At 44.2% G+C, this 19,113-nt stretch overlaps 1 protein-coding gene and 1 pseudogene across 1 annotated transcript in view, besides 4 other annotated features; one reads left to right on the top strand and one right to left on the bottom strand.

The window, feature by feature from the left end:
* The window catches only part of RAB3IL1 (RAB3A interacting protein like 1), a 49,023-nt gene that overhangs the window by 6,383 nt on the left and 23,527 nt on the right, over positions 1–19,113 (top strand). The gene's annotated exons all lie outside the window — the stretch shown is intronic.
* Positions 1,273–1,421: a silencer, noted in NCBI's record as "fragment chr11:61705992-61706140 (GRCh37/hg19 assembly coordinates)". NCBI's record gives its function as "represses an EF-1alpha promoter that drives an FKBP-Casp9 reporter gene in an ReSE screen in HepG2 liver carcinoma cells {active_cell/tissue: HepG2}" and the evidence as "EXISTENCE:reporter gene assay evidence [ECO:0000049][PMID:32094911]".
* Positions 1,941–2,047, bottom strand: RNU6-1243P (RNA, U6 small nuclear 1243, pseudogene; annotated as a pseudogene).
* Positions 15,930–16,224: an enhancer, noted in NCBI's record as "tiled region #8487; HepG2 Activating DNase unmatched - State 1:Tss". NCBI's record gives its function as "activates a minimal TATA promoter and a strong SV40 promoter by Sharpr-MPRA in HepG2 cells {active_cell/tissue: HepG2}" and the evidence as "EXISTENCE:reporter gene assay evidence [ECO:0000049][PMID:27701403]".
* Positions 15,930–16,728: a biological region, named in NCBI's record as "Sharpr-MPRA regulatory region 8487".
* Positions 15,979–16,728: an enhancer, noted in NCBI's record as "H3K27ac-H3K4me1 hESC enhancer chr11:61690685-61691434 (GRCh37/hg19 assembly coordinates)". NCBI's record gives its function as "activates a minimal SCP1, AML or CMV promoter by ChIP-STARR-seq in primed H9 embryonic stem cells {active_cell/tissue: H9 hESC(primed)}" and the evidence as "EXISTENCE:reporter gene assay evidence [ECO:0000049][PMID:30033119]".

The following is a 19,113-nucleotide window of genomic DNA, read 5'->3' as shown; positions in this document are numbered from 1 at the left end:
TGTTGCCCAGGCTGGAGTGCAGTGGCAAGATCATAGTTCACTGCAGCCTCAATCTCCTGGGCTCAAGTAATCCTCCTGCCTCAGCCTCTCAAATAACTGGGACTACAGACATGTGCCACCACACCTGGCTAATTTTTTAATATTTTATTTTTAGCAGAGACAAGGTTTCCTTATGTTGCCCAAGCCGGTCTTGAACTCCTGAGCTCAAACAATTCCCCCGCACTGGCCTCCAAAAGTGCTCAGATTACAGGCGTGAGCCACTCCAGCCTTATTCCTAACTTTAGTAATTTGAGTCTTCTTTTTTTTTTTTTGGTCAGTCTAAAGTTTCATCAATTTTCTTGATCTTTTTGAAGAATCAACTTTTGTTTTCATTGATTCTTTCTGTTGTTTTTCTCTTTTCTATTTCATTTATCTCCACTCTTAATTTTTATTCTTTCTTTTGCTTGCTTTGGGTTTAGTTTATTCTACTTTTTCTAGTTCCTTAAATTGGAAGTTTAGGTTATTAATTGGAGATCTTTCTTCTCTTTGATGTAGGTTTTTACAGCTATAAATTTCCCTTTGAGTACTGCTTTTGCTGTATTCGATAAGTTTTGGTATGCTGTATTTTCATTTTCATTCATCTCATCTAATTTCTCTTGTGATTTTTTCTTTGATCCGTGGGGCAGTTAAGAGTGTGTTGCTTAATTCCCACATATTTGTGAATTTTTCACTTTTAATTCTGTTATTTCTAATTTCATTCCTTTGTGGTTGGAAAGATAATTCATATGATTTCAATTCTTTAAAATTTATTAAGACTTATTTTGTGGTCTAACATATGGTCTATCCTGGGGAATGTTTTATGTGTACTTTGAGAAGAATGTATATTCTGCTATGGTTGGGTAGAGTTAGCACTGTTCAAGTCTTCTATGTCCTTATCTAGTGTGTAGTTCTAGCCATTATTGAAAGTGAAGTATTGACGTTTCCAACTATTCTTTTTATTTATTTATTTATTTATTTATTACTTTTTTTTATTTTTTGAGACAGAGTCTTGCTCTGTTACCAGGCTGGAGAGCAGTAGCACAATCTTGGCTCACCGCAACCTCCACCTCCCAGGTTCAAGCCATCCTCCTGCCTCAGCCTCCCAAATAGCTGGGATTACAGGCACACACTGCCATGCCCAGCTAAATTTTGTATTTTTAGTAGAGACAGGGTTTTACCATGTTGGGCAGACTGGTTTTGAATTCCTGACCTCAGGTGATCTGCCCACCTCGGCCTCCCAAAGTGCTGGGATTAGAAGCATGAGCCACTGTGCTCAGCCGATATTTCCAGCTATTCTTGCTGGCCTGTTTCTACTTTGAATTCTGTCCATTTTTGCTTCAAATACTTTGAGGACTCTCCTGTTAGGTGAAATATATAATTGTTATATCTTCTTGATGAATTGAACCTTTTATCATTACAAAATGTTTCTCTTTGTCCCTTGTAACAATTTTTGCCTTGAGGTCTATTTTTTATAATATTAGGATATCCACTCCAGCCCTCTTTTTGTTAGTTTTCATGGAATATATGTAGTATTTAAATACAGAGTCCCTTGTCACTCAAGCTGGAGTGCAGTGGCTGCAGCCTCAAACTCCTGGGCCGAAGGGATCCATCCTCCCACCTTAGCTTCCTGAGTAGCTGGGACTACAGGTGTGTGCCACCATACCAGGTTTTTTTGTTTGTTTGTTTGTTTTAGTAGATAGCATAACTTCGTTGCCCAAGCTGGTCTTGAACTCCTGGCCTCAAGAAATCCTCCCACTTCAGCCTACCAAAGGGCTGGAATTACAGGCGTGAGTCACTGCCCCTAGCCTGGAATATCTTCCATCCTTTCACTTTCAACAATTTGGGTCATTTGAGCTAAAGCGAAGCTCTTGTAGACAGCATATATAGTTGGATCATGTGGGGTTTTTTTTTAATTTTTTAATTTTATAATGGAAAGCTTCACAAATTTGCATGTCAACCTTGCACAGGGGCCACGCTAATCTTCTCTGTATCATTCCAATTTTAGTATATGTGCTGCTGAAGTGAGCACTGGATCATGTTTTTTTTAAAAAAAATCAATTCTACTAATCTCTGCCTTTCAATTGGATAATTCAATCCATTTACAGTTAATGTAATTACTGATAAGGATTTATTCCCATTTTGCTATTTTTTATATGCATTATATATTTTTGTTTTTTTGTTCCTCAACTCCTTCATTATTGCCTTCTATTGTGTTAAATATTTTCTAGTGCCCCATTTTGATTCTCTTTTTTTCTTTTGATTCCCTTCTTTTCTTTTCTTTTAGTTATTTTCTTAGTGGTTGTCTTGGATATTGAACAATTTGGCTGGGCATGGTGACTCAAGCCCTACCACTTTGGGAGGCTGAGGTAGGAGGATTGCTTGAGGTCAGAAGTTTGAGACCAGCCTGGGTAATAAAGAAAGACCCCGTATCTAGCCACCCCCCCACCAAATTAGCCAGATGTGGTGATGTGCACCTGTAGTCCCAGCTACTCAGAGGCTGAGGTGGGATGATCACTTGAGTCCAGGAGTTCATGGCTGCAGTGAGCCATAATCGCAACACTGCACTCCAGCCCAAGCAACAGAGCAAGACCTGGTCTCAAAAACTGCAACTACAACAAAAAATTTAAATAATAATATTTAACAATCTAATTCTAATTAATACCAACTTAGTTTCAATAGCATGCAAAATCTTTGAACCTCTATAGCTTCATCCCCTACCTTTCATGTTTTTATTGTCAGTAATTACATTTTTATGCCTTACATGCCCATCAACATAGATTTATGGTTATTGTAGATGTATTTTAAATTATATAAGGGAAAAAAGAGGAGTTTAAACTAAAAATACAGTAATACTAACTTTTATATTTATCTATGTATATTTACCTATGTATTTATTTTACTGATGTTCTTTATTTCTTCATGTGGTTTTGAGTTACTATCTAGTGTCCTTTAGTAGCAACCTGAACAGCTCCCTTTAGCATTTCTTATATGGCAGGTCTACTAGCGACAAACTCTCTCGACTTTAGTTTATCTGAGGATGTCTTGAGTTCTCCTTTTTTTTCTGAAGGATAGCTTTGCCAGATATAGAAATCTTAGTTATATATAGATAGATATAGAAATCTTAATCCTCTTTTGTTTGTTGGTTTCAGCATTTTCTGAATATATCATCCCACTATCTGGCCCCCATGGTTTCTGATGAGAAATAAACTGTTAATCTTATTGAGATTAGCTTATATGTGATGAGTCACTTTTCTCTTGTTGTTTTCAAGATTCTCTCTTCAGGCGGGGAATGGTGGCTTACGCCTGTGATCCCAGCACTTTGGGAGGTCGAGGTGGGTGGATCACTTAAGGTAAGGAGTTTGAGACCAGCTTGGTCAACATGGCGAAACCCTGTCTCCCCTAAATATACAAAAATTAGCCAGGCACGGAGGAGGCAGATGTTACAGTGAGCTGAGATCGTGCCACTGCACTCCAGCCTGGGCAACAAAGTGAGATTCTGTCTCAAAACAACAACAACAAAAATCAAGATTCTCTTTTTATCTTTGTCTTTCAATAGTTCGATTCTAATGTATCTTGGTTTTGATCTCTTTGTGTTTATCCTACTTGGGATTCATTAGGCTTATTGAATGTGAAGATTGAATCTTCCATTACATATTGGAAGTTTTGGGCCATTATTTCTTCAAATATTCTGTCTTCTTCTTTCTCTGCCTCCTCTCCATCTGGGACTTTCATTATGCATATGTTGTTATGCTCGATGGTATTCCATGGGTCTCTTAAACTCCATTTGCTTTTCTCCATTCTTGTTTCTCAGATTGTTAATCTCAGTGGACTTATCTTCAAGTGTGCTGATTGTTTCTTTTGCCTGCTCTAATCTATATTGACCTCCTCTAGCGAATTTTTATTTCAGTTATTATACTCTTCAACTCCAGAATTTATTTTTCTCTTTTTTCTTTTTTTTTTAAATGTTCCTCTTGGCATATACCTAAAACTCCAGGATTTCTATTTGTTTTCTTTTTATAATTTATCTTTATTTATACTCTATATTTAGTGAGATATAGTTCTCATGGTTTCCTTTAGGTCTTTGAGTAGATTTAAAATAGTTGATTTAGGCCAGGTGTGGTGGCTCACCCCTGTAATCGCAGCACTTTGGGAGGCCGAGGTAGGTGGATCACCTGAGGCCAGGAGTTTGAGACCAGCCTGGCCAACATAGTGAAACTCCATCTCTACTAAAAATACAAAAATTAGCCAGGCATGGTGATAGGTGCCTATAATCCCAGCTATTCGGGAGGCTGAGGCAGTAGAGTCACTTGAACCTGGGAGGTGGGGGTTGCAGTTAGCTGAGATAGTGCCCCTGCACTCCAGCCTGGGTGACAAAACAAGACTCCATCTCAAAAAATAATTAATTAACTAATACAATAAAATAGTTGATTTAAAGTCTATCTATAAAGTCTAATGTCTGTGCTTCCTCAGAAACAGTTTCTTTCTTTTTTTTTTTTTTTTTTTGAGACACAGTCTTGCTCTCTCACCCAGGCTGGAGTGCAGTGGCTCAATCTCAGCTCACTGCAACCTCTGCCACACGGGTTCAAGCGATTCTCCTGCCTCAGCCTCCCAAGTAGCTGGGATCACAGGTGCGTGCCACCACACCCAGCTAATTTTTGTATTTTTAGTAGAGATGGGGTTTCAACATCTTGGCCAGGCTGGTCTTGAACCCCAGACCTCGTGATTCATGGCCTCCCAAAATGCTGGGATTACAGGCGTGAGCCAACACACCTGACCTAACAGTTTCTATTAGTTTATTTTTTCCCCACACATAAACTATGCTCTCTTGTTTCTTTGAATGTCTCATAATTTTTGTTTGAAACTGGACATTTTTAATATTTAAATGTAGCAACTCTGGAAATCAAATCTGAAATCTCCCAGCACCCCAGAGTTTGTTATTGAGGCTTGTAGTACTTGTTGGGATTTTTTTGTTTTGTTTTGTTTTGTTTTTTGGTGACTTTTCTGAACTAATTTTGTAAAGTCTGTATTTTTTCTTGTGTATATCCACTAAAGTCTTTGTTTCATTAGCTTAGTGATCAGCTAATGACTTGACAGAGATTTTCTTAAATACCTAGAACAGTGATAAAAATCTTCCAGTCTTTGCAGAATGGCTCTGTATGTGTGTCGGCACATACCTTCAACTCTAAGCCAGGCAATTTACAACTGTGCTTTAACCTTTGTCTTCTGCTTACAGAGAGCCTGAAGATCAGGTAGAGGTGGGAATTTAGGACCCCTTCAGGTCTTTTCTGAGCATGCACCCAGCCCTAGGCACGCATGTGCACCTCTATTCCCTGGACTATGTAGGAGCTTTTCAAAGCCCTTAGGGACTTTTGAAGTTTTCTACTATACCATTTGCACTGACATCTGATCCTTTTCTTTAGGCATAGAATATATATATATATATATATATATATATATATATATATATATATACATACACACACACACACACACACATACACATATATATGTATATATACAAATATATGTATATATGCACACAATATATATTGTGTGTATATATATACATATGTGTGTGTGTGTGTGTGTGTGTGTGTGTGTGTATATTTACTCAGGCCAGGCACAGTGGCTCATACTTGTAATTCCAGCATTTTGGGAGGCTGAGGTAGGAGGATCACTTGAGCCCAGGAGTTTGAGGATGCAGTGAGCTAGGATTGTGCCACTGCACTCCAACCTGGATGACAAAAGAAGATCCCATCTCTTTTGCTTGGAAATCATCTCAGCTAAATATTCAAGTGCATCACTCACAAATTCTGCTTTCCATGCAACTGTAGGACAAAGTATAGCTAGACTTTCTACCTCTATAGAACAGGGACCTCGTCTCCTTCAGTTTCTAGTAACATTTTCTTCATTTTGTTCTGAGTCCTCACTGGTAGAGCCTTAATAGCCATCTTTCTTTTTCTTTTCTTTTTTTTTCTGAGACAAGGTCTTGCTCTGTTACCCAGGCTGGGGTGCAGTGGCGCAATCTTGGCTCATTGCCGCCTGCACCTCTTGGGTTCAAGTGATTCTCCTGCCTCAGCCTTCCTAGTAGCTAGGACTGCAGGCACACACCACTATGCCCAGCTAATTTTTGCATTTTTAGTAGAGACAGGGTTTCGCCATGTTGCCGTGAGCCACCACACCCAGCCAATATCCATATTTTTACTAACAATCTGTTCAAAGAAACCTAGGCTTTTTCTGTCATGCTCCCCAAAATTCTTCGTCTCTACTCATTACCCAATTCCAAAGCTACCTCCACATTTTTAGGTTTTGGTTACAGCAGCACTCCACTCTTGGTTCCAAAATCTGCATTACTTTTTTTAATGATAATTGTAACAAATTATCACAAACTACGTGACTCTAAACAACAGAAACTTATTTTCTCACCATTCGGGAGGCCAGGATGTCCAAAATCAGTATTACTGGGCCTAAAGCAAGATGTCAGTAGATCTATGCTCCCTCTGGAGGCTCTCTTGTCTCTTTCAGCTCCTGGTGGCTGCCAGCACTCCTTGGCTTTTGGCCACAACACTCCTCCATCTTGTGCCTTTTCCTCTTTTGTCTGTGTCAGATCTCTTTCTGCCCCCCTCTTATAAGGATACATGTGATTGCATTTAGGGTCTACTCCAATAATTTGGAATAATCTCCCCATCTCACGGTCCTTAACTTAATTACATCTTTACAGACTCTGTTTTCATATAAGGTAACATTTACAGTTTTCAAAGATTAGGATTCAATATCTTTGAGAGGCCATTTTTATCCTACCACAGTTATGGTCCTATCATGGAATATTATACAGCAATAAAAATGAATGAACTGGCCAGGCATGGTGGTTCACACCTGTAATCCAAGCACTTTGGGAGGCTGAGGCAGGCAGATCACAAGGTCAGGAGTTTGAGACCAGCCTGGCCAACATGGTGAAATCCTGTCTCAACTAAAAATACAAAAATTAGCTGGGCATGGTAGTGCAAGCCTGTAATCCTAGATACTCAGGAGGCTGAGGCAGGAGAATTGCGTGAACCTGGAGGCAGAGGTTGCAGTGAGCTGAGATTGTGCCACTGCACTCCAGCCTGGGCGATAGAGTGAGACTCCGTCTCAAAAAAAAAAAAAAAAAAAATGAACTATAGTTACATAAAATAAGGTAAGTCTTGGATATAATGTTGAGTTAAAAAAAAGTTCTAGAAGACTTTATCACTATTTTCTATTTATGTCTTTGATTTCTCTTTTATTTATGTCTTTTATTTCTTTTTAATGTCTTTTATTACATTGTAAGCCCTATAAAGCTTAGAATGTAAACCTCATAGGGCAGGGCCTTGTTTTGCTCATTGCTATACACCCTGTGCCTGGAAGAGTGACTGTCAGGCAAAGAAATACCAAACAAATAACTGCTGAATGAATGAACTATTAAAATGGATATTTTTGAAGACTGATATAAGCAAATAAAAAATCTTACAGTATAACACTAATTTTTTTATAAACCAGAATCCCAAAGTGCTGGGATTACAGATGTGAGCCACCATGTCCAGCTAAGGTGGTCTTTTTCAATTTGAAAACTCATATACTTCAGTTTTGGGAAATAATCTTGAATTATTTATTTGATGCTTTACCCCCTTCATTTTCTTTTCTTTTTTTTTTTGAGACAGAGTCTCGCTCTGTCTCCCAGGCTGGAGTGCAGTGGTGAGATCTCGGCTCACTGCAAGCTCCACCTCCCGGGTTCACGCCATTCTCCTGCCTCAGCCTCCCGAGTAGCTGGGACTACAGGCGCCCGCCACCACGCCCAGCTAATTTTTTGTATTTTTAGTAGAGACGGGGTTTCACCATGTTAGCCAGGATGGTCTCAAACTCCTGACCTTGTGATCTGCCTGCCTCAGCCTCCCAAAGTGCTTGGATTACAGGTGTGAACCACCATGCCTGGCCAGTTCATTCATTTTCTTCTGTTGCTTCTTTATTCAGATATTGAATCTTCTAAATTGATTCTCTACTTTTCTAATCTTTTCACTATTTTCCATTTCTTTCTTTCTGAAGGATATTCCCTCAACTGTGTCTTCCAACCTTACTCATTGTTTTCATTTCTACCATCATGCTTTTAAAAAATATATTATTTTCCAATAGTTTTTGTTGTTCTGTGAATGTTTACTTTCATAGAATCAGGTTATTATTTCATGAATGCAATACCTTCTTTTCTCATCCTGAGGTTATTAATGCCTCTCCTTCTTCCTCCTCCTTGCCTTCCTTCTCCTCCTCCTCCTCTTCACCTCCTCTTCTTTTTTCTACAGAGTCTCTGTTTCCTGCAAGTTGCTTTTCTTCTGCTTACTGGGTTTGGTCTCTCTTAAGGTAGAGGTTCTCCTTAGTTGTCTAATAATCCTTGATTGCTCATTATTAAGAGCGAGATCTTAAAAACTGATGGCAAGCATGTTGACTTTGAGCTGGATGGATATTTTGTTGGGTAACATTCGTCTTAGATCTCTCTTCTTGGGTTGGCCAGAGTCCCATAGAGGGGCTGTCTGGAGGGTAAAAGTCTGTCTTTACCCTCCTGGTGACTGAGTGAGTTGCCACTTTGGCTGACAAGTGACAGAAGAGGGTTGGAGGTCTTGGATTTCAGTGTGTATATAATCACTTAACCCTCTTATTCAGCTACTGGCCCAAAGACCTTCTGTTTTGCCTTCTCCAGAGAATAAATCTCCAGTGTTATGCTAGACTAAGAAAGGGGCAGTTGGCCAGTGGCATGGAGTAGAGGAGGGGACCTAGGGATCAAATTGCTTATCGGTTCGCTTTGATCTAGTGCTCTATACTTCAGTTACTACCAAGGCCAGTGGTCTCTGCTGCCACCAGCTCCTGATGTTTTGCTGCCTTGATGTAGCCGTAGTTCAGAGACATTTGTTGACATCTCACACCATAATGATAGATGTGTCTATTTTCCCCTGTAGCTTTAATTATTTTTGCTTTAAATATTTTAGGCTATTTTATTAGGCACATATTAATTTAGATGGTTATATCTATCTGGTGAATTTTTTTTAAACATTGTCATCACTTTATTATTACTGCATAGTGACCACCTCTACACTAATAATGTTTTTCGTCTTAAAGTTTGTTATTAATTTGGTCTTTTTAAGACAGGGTCTTGCTGTGTTGCCCAGACTGAGTGCAGTGGCATGATCACAGCTCACTGCAGCCTTGACTTCCCAGGCTAAAGTGATCCTCCTGCCTCAGCCTCCCAAGTAGCTGGGACTACAGGCCTGCACCACCACGCCTGGCTAATTTTTGATTTTTTGTAGAGATGGGGTCTCCCCATGTTGCCCAGGCTGGTCTTGAACTCCTGAGCTCAAGTGATCCTCCCTTCTCAGCCTCCCAAAGTGCTGGGATTACATGCATAATTCACCATGATTCGTCTTAAAGTTTGGTTATTAATGCAGAAATACCACCTTGCTTTTGGTGTAACTTTTTCAAGCTCACCCTTTCCATATCCTTATGCTTAGGTGGTCAAATATGCCTTTTTAAAAAATATTTTGAACATTTTTAAGTATATAGTTTAGTGACATTAATTACATTCCCATTGTTGTGCAACCATTATCCATCTCTAGAACATTTTTTATCTTCCCAAATGAAACTCCATACCCATTAAACAAATATCACCTCCCCTCCATTCTCTATTTTCTATTCTTGATTTCATAGACCTTATAAGTCTATGCTTGGCTGGGAGTGGTGGCTCATGCCTGTAATCCCAGCACTTCAGGAGGCTGAGGCAGGTGTATCACTCTAACCCAGGAGTTTGAGACCAGCCTGGGCAACGTGGCAAAACCCTGCCTCTACTAAAACCACAAAGATTAGCCGGGCATGGTGGTGGCATTCGCCTGTAGTCCCAGCTACTTAGGAGGCCGAGGCAGGGGAATCACTTGAACCTGGGAGGCAAAGGTTGCAGCGAGCCGAGACTGCACCACTGCACACCAGCCTGGGCAACAACGGAGTGAGACCTTGTCAAAAAAAAAAAAAAAAAAAAAAAAAGCCGGGCGCGGTGGCTCATGCCCATAGTCCCAGCACTTTGGGAGGCCGAGGCAGACAGATCACTTAAGGTCAGGAGATCGAGACCATCTTGGCCAACGTGGTGAAACCCCGTCTCTACTAAAATACAAAAAATTAGCTGGGTGTGGTGGTGCACACCTGTAGTCCCAGCTACTCAGGAGGCTGAGGCAGGGGAATCGCTTGAACCCAGGAGGCAGAGTTTGCAGTGAGCTAAGATCACACCACTGCACTCCAGCCTGGCGACAGAGCAAGACTCTGTCTCAAAAAAAAAAAAAATCTGCTTGGTTCTCCTTGATAATCTCTTGTTGTTTATTCATGTTCAGATCATACATTTTTTTTTAAATTTTTTTAAAGCTTTTTGAGACCAAGTCTCACTCTGTCACCCAGGCTGGAGTGTAGTGGTGCGATCTCGGCAGCTCACTGCACCTCTGCCTTCTGGGTTGAATCGATTCTTGTGTCTCAGCCTCCCAAGTAGCTGGGACAATAGGCGCATGCCACCACACCCAGCTAATTTTTGTGTTTGTAGCAGAGACAGGGTTTCACCATTTTGCCCAGGCTGGTCTCAAACTCCTGGGCTCAAGCGATCCACCTGCCTCAGCCTCCCAAAGTGCTGGGAAGCCACCATGCCTGCCCATATGTATATATTAACAATAACTTATCATATATGTCAAAATAGCTACAAGAGATGATTTGTAATGTTCTCAACACAAAGAAATGATAAATGTTTGAGGTGATGAATATCCCAGTTACCCAGATTTGATCATTATACATTGTATGCTTGTGTCAAAAGGTCACATATACCCCACAAATATGTACAACTATAATGTAGCCATAATTAAAAATAATTTTTTTTTGTTTTTTGTAAATTTTGTGTGTGTTCTTTTTCTTTAAAAACAGATTCTAAAAATTCATGTGTTAACCTTTCTATATCATATATAGGAGACCACTACCTGGAGTTCTGTAGCATCTAAATCTGTTGTGTGTTGTTTCTGTTGATTCTTACTCATAGTGGCTAGCATCTTTATGTGCTGGTGATCTCTGATTGTGAGCTCACTGCTTGATATTGAGCAATAGGAATCCTTCATATCTAAATTTGGACACATTCCTCCAAAGAGGATTTGAATCTGCTTCTGCCTGGAGCCAGGGGTGTCACCAACATGAAACACTTCAGCCCTCTTTGAGGGTCCTAGCTCCATGTATTTTGAGGGTTCTCACTTCATGTAGTTGGAGGGTCCTAGCTCCATGTATTTGGAGGGTCTTAGCTCCATGTATTTTGAGGGTCCTCGCTTCATGTAGTTGGAGGGTCCTAGCTCCATGTATTTGGAGGGTCTTAGCTCCATGTATTTTGAGGGTCCTAGCTTCATGTATTTTGAGGGTCCTAGCTCTGTGTATTCTGAGGGTCCTAGTTCCGTGTATTTTGAGGGTCCTAGCTCTGTGTATTTTGAGGGTCCTAGCTCCATATATTTTGAGGGTCCTAGCTTCATGTATTTTGAGGGTCCTAGCTCCATGTATTTGGAGGGTCCTAGCACCATGTAGATGCCCACATTCATGTCCCCAACCTCCCTCCTGGCCAAAGCTCCCAGCTTTGGCTGCACTTTCCTTTGTGGGTAAGGAAGTGGCTTTGGCAGACAAGGCCTAGAGCTTGATAGACAACACATCCTCAAAGAATTATAGCCTCTTTTTCTAGAATTTTTTTTTTTTTTTCTGTAGCAGGAAGGCTCCTCTCTGCTTCAAGTCCACCACATCCCTAAGGAGCAGAAATTCTCCAAGCCATTCCACACTTATCCATAGTAGCCATCTTTTTGATATGTGAATCCGTTCACATCACACTCCTGCGTAAATCCTTCAATGACTCCTCTTAGTCTTTAAGTATAAAGTTTGAACTCCTTACCTAGCATACTGTATTAGTTCATTCTCACACTACTATAAGAACTACTCAACGCTGGGTAATTTATAAAGAAAAGAGGTTTAATAGGCTCACTGTTCTGCAGGCTGTACAGGAGGCATGGCTGGGGAGGCCTCAGGAAACTTACGATCATGGCTGAAGGTGAAGGGGAAGCAGGCACATCTTACATGGCCAGAGCAAGTGGAAGAGAGCAAAGGGGGAGGTGCTACAGACTCTTAAACAACCAGATCTTGTGAGAACTGGCACAAGAACAGCAGGGGGGAAATATATTACCATGACCCAGTCAACTCCCACCAGGCCCCTCCTTCAACACTGGAAATTACAATTCAACATGAGATTTGGGCAGGGATGCAGAGCCAAACCATACCACATACAAAGCCCCACAAGATCTAGCCCCTGACTCTCTTGCCAGCCCCAACTCTTTCAATGGTCTCCCTTTCCACTCCCAAACTCCTGCCTCAGGAAATTTTTCCAGACTCCTAACCTTAAGTCTAGGTTGGGAGTTCCTGGATGTGCTCCCAGACGACTTTGCACTTCCCCTATCCTTGTACCTGACCTGTGGTCCTGTGTGTTAGTCTGTTTTGCATTGCTATAGGGAATACCTGAGTCTGGGCAATTTGTATAGAAGAGTTTTCTCTGGCTCGCTGTTCTGCCAACTGTACGGGAAGCATGGCACCAGCATCTCCTTCTGATAAGGGCCTCAGAAAGCTTCCAATCATGGCAGAAGGTTAAGGGGGGGGCATGCATGTCAAGTGGTGAGAGAGAGAAAAAGAGAGAGATGGAGGGAGGTCCCAGACTCTTTTTAAGAATCAGATCTGGCTGGGTGCGTTGGCTCATGCCTATAGTCCTAGCACTTTGGGAGGCCAAGGCGGGTGGATCATCTGAGGTCAGGAGTTTGAGAGCAGCCTCGCCAACATGCTGAAACCCCGTCTCTACTAAAAATACAAAAATTAGCGGGGCATAGTGCCTGTAGTCCCAGCTACTCAGGAGGCTGAGGCAGGAGAATCGCTTGAACCTGGGAGTTGAAGGTTGCAGTGAGCCAAGATTGTGGCATTGCATGGGCCTGGCACCAGGCAAGAAAGAGTGATGAAATAAAAGTTTTCTGTATCTCGGCCAGGTGTGGCTCACATCTACAATTCCAGCACTTTGGGAGGCCGAGGCGGGCAGATCACAGGGTCAGGAGTTTGAGACCAGCCCGGCCAACATGGTGAAACCCCCATCTCTACTAAAAATACAAAATTTAGCCAGGCATGGTGGCGTGCACCTTTAATCCCAGCTACTCTGGAGGCTGAGGCAGGAGAATCACTTGAACCCAGGAGGCAGAGGTTGCAGTGAGCTGAGATGGCGGCACTACACTCCAGCCTGGGCGACAGAGTGAGACTCCATCTCAAAAAAAGAATCAGATCCTGCAGCAACTCATTACCACAGGGAGGGCACCAAGCCATTCATGAGGGAACCAAGCTCCCATGACCCAAACACCTCCCACAAGGCCCACCTCCAACATTGGGGATCATATTTCAATGTGAAATTTGGAGGGACAAATACCCAAACCATATCATGCTGTAATTAGATGTCTGAATCCCCCGCTACACATAATCCCCTCCTAAACTGTATACTTCATGAGTGCAGAAACATTGTCTGTCTGGTTCACTAATATGCCATCAGCACTTGGCATGTGTGTTCTTAAAAATCTGATGAATGAGTGAACACCTCTATTGAGCTCCCAGTGTTTTTTCTTATTGATTTTCGCAAATTCTTTATGTGTTAACTATATTAACGCATTGCCATTGCCTGGGAATATTTTCGCCAAGTTATTTGCCTTTTAATTTTGGCTTTTTTTTTTTTTTTTTTTTTTTGGCAGGAAGGAGCATAAAGCAGCTTTACATTTGAATGCGGACAGATCTATTGATCTTTTTCTGTTAAGATCTCTTCAAAATGTTTCCAAGTTTAGAAAGTCTTTCCCTTGCTAGATGTGTAATAAGTGTTCACTTCTATTTTTTATGCACACAGCTGTCCATTTAATCTTCCCAAAGCAGGGCTCTGATCATTTCTCTCCTCTGCTCAAAAATGTTTAACCATCTCCTTGGAGCCTTTAGAATAAAGTCCAAATTCTTTAACTCGCCTCCAAGGCTTTTCAGGATTTAACCTGAGGCTGCCTTTCCAGACTTTTTTTTTCCTGTCCCCCAAATGAGCCTGAGCTCCTGGCAAAGTGAAGGGTTTGCCTCTCTCTGTCTGTGTTCTGCCCTTCCCACCTCCAGGCCTTTTACCTGTTGGTCCCTCTGCAGGGAATGTCCATCCTTCATTTCTATATGGATTTTTTTTTTTTGAGACACAGTCTTGCTCTGTTGCCTAGGCTAGAGTGCAGTGGTGTGATGTTGGCTCACTGCAGCCTCCACCTCCCGGGTTCAAGCAATTTTCCTGCCTCAGCCTCCCAAGTAGCTGGGATTACATGTGTGTGCCACCATGCCTGGCTAATTCGTGTATTTTTAGTAGAGACAGGGTTTTTACCATGTTGGCCAGGCTGGTCTTGAACTCCTGACGTCAAGTGATCCACCCACCTCAGCCTCCCAAAGTGCTGGGAATTACAGGTGTGAACCACTGCACCCGGCTCTATATGGATATTTAAATCCTATTGATTCTTCAATCCCTACTTTGTTTAAAAAGCCTCACTTTACCCTTCCTCCTGAGAGAGTGACTGGTGGAGAGATAAGAAAACAAGCTTTGGAGTCAGACAAACCTGGGTTAAAATCTGAGTTCCTTTACTTGTTAGCCATTGGCCAAATCCTTTAACCTTTCCAAATCTGTTTCCTCATCTTTAAAATGGGAACAGAAAGCAATGAAGGACCACCAAGGACTGTCGGGCCGCTGCAAGGATGAACAGAATCTGAGATTGCGCGTAAAGATCCTAGCACAGTCTCCAGTTCACCCCACATTCTGCCACCTTGGAAGGGAGTCATCAGCTCTCTGGGGGTCACACCCTCCTCCACTAGTCATGTTTTCCCCCCGAAGGTTTCTGATGGATTCTCTGTTCTCTAATAATTCCACAAGGTGGCTGAGCTTTCCTTCTGAGGAGTTGAGAGCGGGTGAACAGGTTTCATCTCTAGGAATTCAGCTCAGGCCCCAGGCACCTTGGTCAGACTCCCACACCCATCTGGGCCCAAAGGAATCCCCTCCTTCCTTCCTCCCTTCTTCGTCTGAGGTCAGTTTCATTACCGGGAACTGTTGATATTTCCAAAGGGGTTCACCAGCACTTCCCGGCCCTCACCATCAGCACCCCACAATATGATGATAAGTCAAGTGGAACAAAGATAATCCTCCCAGGTTTAAGGTGGGTAAACTGAGGCTCAAACTAGCTTCCATATATTTGTGTCTAGAACTTATGGGTCTTCGCAGCCAGAGAAGGGATTCATTTCGTGGGGGCGCTGAGGGGCCTGGGCAGCTGTGGTGGAGAACTGGGGGAGCTCTGGCCCCAGAGCAGGAGATGGGCCAGGAATCCTGTCTCTCAGGGCCTCTGCCTTGTCCTCGAGTAGGTTAATTCGAATCTCTCAGAGGCTGGCCTGGAGCTTAGTGTCTGTGCTTGCTTTGTGAACTGACTTTCTGAGTAGATTCTTTTGCCTGCATCTTTTGGGGAAGAAGCAAAGATGACGACTTACTGGCAGGGGCTGTATCTCTGGGGCTGAGAGTGAGGATGGGAACTTCCTGGACAGTGAAAAGAGCAAGTTTAGCTTCCGGAGGCCTGGCTGCTAGCCCCGCTCTGTACCCAGCATGCTGTACCACCTGGGACAAGTGCCTGCCCTCTCTGGACCCCAACTGCCCTCCCTAAAAAATGGAGATGGTGGTCGAAGGAGGTCTGTTGTGAATCTTAGTGTTCTCAAAGTGCTGTCCTGGGCTGAGCCCCTCCCTGAGCCCAGACTGTCCCCGGGGCCTGGCTTCACCAGGTTGGCCTGAGCAAAGCTGTGACCCCATTCGGCCGCCTCCACACGCTCTGTCCTGCCCTTCCCTGAGGGGCCTGGGCCTGGTCTTGGTCAGGCCTGGGGACAGAGCAGGGAGCCTCCAGGCCCAAGTTTGACCTCCTGAGTCGCTTCCCCTCTCCCTGGAGCCAGAACCAGCGTCCTCTTTCCCTCCTGCTTGAAATCTGAGCTCAGAGATCCAGGGAGGACTTTGGCTGCAAAACATTCCATCCGCGCTGTCCAAACACCCTGCACAGCTGGCGGAGGGAGGGGCAGCCAGAACTGGCTTTCAGGAACCCTGGGGCTGTTGTTTTCATGGAAATGGGGGAGCCCTCACTCTGAGGACCAGCACTGGCTGACCTGAGGAAGTTCACAGGGTCAAGTGGACCAAGGAAGGGCCCACCTGCACACATGTTTTTGGGGCTTACCCAGGGCCCCTCTGCTGAGCGCCCAGCCCTGCAGGGGAAAAATCCAGTTGCTTCAAAGTCTGCCCAGCCAGGTGTGCGTGGCTGCCTTGAGCCTGCCAGCTGGGAGGTGTCTGCACCACAGGCAGGCGGATGGTGGCCTTGTGAGCCTCCCCTCGTGACTGAGCTCTATGCAGAGGCAGGGGAAGGGCAGGCAGGAATGACGCTGAGATAGCAAGAAGGGGAGGCGACTTCAGGCAGCGGCTTTTACTGACAAGACGTCCCAGACCTGGCTGCTTCTTGCTGTGACTCACAAGTGACCCTGGATGAGTCTCTGAGCCTCAGTTTCCTCATCTGCAAGAAGAGACAATCGGGCCTTTTCTGGCTCTGCCTTTTTTCTAAGAAGTTACAACCAAAGACAAGATCCTCAAAGCTTCCCATCCAGTCCAAGCTGTGTCTAAATGTCCAGAAACATAACAGGTTTTTCCATAAAGTCTCCAGCAACTCTGACTCAGTTTCCCCTCTCCCGCCCCCGGCCAAGAGGCTGGTGGGGTCTTGGCAGGGAGGGACCAACTCCCACATATGATGCCACCAGCCAGGCCAAGCCCTTTCCCCTCTTGCCATGTTGGGGTGATGGGGAGACCCCCACCCTTCACATATCCTGTTTTCCATTAATTGTTTCCAGGTAAGCCCAGAGGTTGCCCAGCAGAGGAAGGTGGGGGCACAGGAGAATTGAGCAGGGGGATCAGAGAGGAGCAAAAACAGGAAGCGGGTGGGAGCAGGCCATGGAAAATTCATTGCCAGGAAAGGGAGGACAGCATCTGGTTTGCATTAGGCTGAGAGAGCTTCGCAGCCCAAAGCCCAAGTGGGAGATACTGTTATCCGCTGGGCGGGGCGGGGCAGGGTGGGGTGTGAGGAACTGGCAGCTTCTCCCCAGCAGGGACTCAGAGGCTAACCAGAAAGAAGAGGGAAGTACAGGCAGGAGGACGGGGCAGGAAACACTGAAGGAAGGAAACACTTCTTTCAGTCTACACTGTGGCAGACACTTCACAAATGTTATCTTCTTCTTCTTTTTTTTTTTTCCAAGACGGAGTTTGGCTCTTGTTGCCCAGGCTGGAGTGCAATGGTGGGATCTCAGCTCACCGCAACCTCTGCCTCCTGGGTTCAAGCGATTCTCCTGCCTCAGCCTCCCAAGTAGCTGGGATTACAGGCATGCGCCACCACCCCCGGCTAATTTTGTATTTTTAGTAGAGATGGGGTTTCTCCATGTTGGTCAGGCTGGTCTCAAACTCCCAACCTCAGAGATGATCCACTCGCCTCGGCCTCCTAAAGTGCTGGGATTACAGGCGTGAGCCAACGCCCCCAGCTGTCTTCTTTTTTTAAACTTTTTTTTTTTTTGAGACGGAGTCTCGCTTTGCCACCCAGGCTGGAATGCAGTGGCGTGATCTCGGCTCACTGCAAGCTCTGCCTCCCAGATTCACGCCATTCTCCTGCCTCAGCCTCCCGAGTAGCTGGGACTACAGGCGCCCGCCACCACGCCTGGCTAATTTTTTGTATTTTTAGTAGAGACGGGTTTTTTTTTAAATAATAGAGATGAGGTCTCGGTTTGTTGCCTAGGGTGGTCTCCTGGGCTCAAGCGATCCTCCCACCTCGGCCTCCCAAAGTGCTGGGATTACAGGCATGAGCCACCGCACCTGGCCACAAATGTTATCTGCTTTAATACTCACTATTTCACAGGGGAGAACTTCCCATTTTATATAGATGAGGAAACTGAGTCCCAGAGAGGTTAAGTGACTTGCCTAAGGCCACACAGTCAGCGAGTGGCAGAACTAGGATGAGAATTTGGGCCAAATGAAGACAGGGTGGCACATTCACACCATCCCACAGGTGGATGGAGTCTGTGTACCAGGCAAGGTGACACTGAGAAGGGTGACGAGGATGGCCCAGCCTCTGCCCAGAGGGCCACTCAGTTCTTGTGGGAGTGTCCAACAGTTCCAGGGGGTGTTTGTCATGACGCAGGGCTAACCATGTGTCTAAGGGCTCTGGTGCCTGCAGAGGAAAAAAGTAACCCACAGGGGAGGGCTTCCTAGAGGAGGGGGTATGAACAAAAGAGAAACTTACTAGCAGAGGCAGGATGCAGTGGAGATAGCAGTCAGGGGGGATAGTATGTGGAAAGAAGAGGAATGGGCACATCTGGGCAATGGCAACTGGCCTGGTGTGCTTTGGAGGGTGAGAATCCATTTCATAGTTGGAGAAACTGAGGCACGGAGAGGCTAACGTGCTCAAAGGCACACCGTCTGAAAGTGGGGTTGAATCCAGCCCGTCTGACCCCGGGCCTGTGTTCCCAGCTGCTACCGCTGAGTTGTTCCTGGGCGGTGGTGGTGAGAAGTTTTAAGGGTAGTGAGACCCCATCTCTCCAAAAAATAAAAAAAATTTAAAAATTAGCCAAGCATGGTGACACATGCCTGGAGTCCCAGCTGCTCAGGAGGCTGAGGTGGGAGGATGGCTTGAGCTGGGCAGTTTGAGGCTGCCCTCCAGCCTGGGTGACGGAGCGAGACCCTGCCTTGAAAAATTAAAAACAAACAAAAAACAAAACTGGGAATCTCAAATCTAAGAAAAAGAATTTAAAAATAAAGAAAAAAAATAAAAAATAACAGTTTTTTGTTTGTTTGTTTTGTTTTTTGAGACGGAGTTTTGCTCTTGTTGCCCAGGCTGGAGTGCAATGGCCCAGTCTCAGCTCACCGCAACCTCCGCCTCCCGGGTTCAAGCAATTCTCCTG

Source organism: Homo sapiens, chromosome 11, assembly GCF_000001405.40.
Source record: "Homo sapiens chromosome 11, GRCh38.p14 Primary Assembly".
NCBI classification, from domain to species: domain Eukaryota; kingdom Metazoa; phylum Chordata; class Mammalia; order Primates; family Hominidae; genus Homo; species Homo sapiens.
This window is presented reverse-complemented; position numbering and strand designations above follow the sequence as displayed.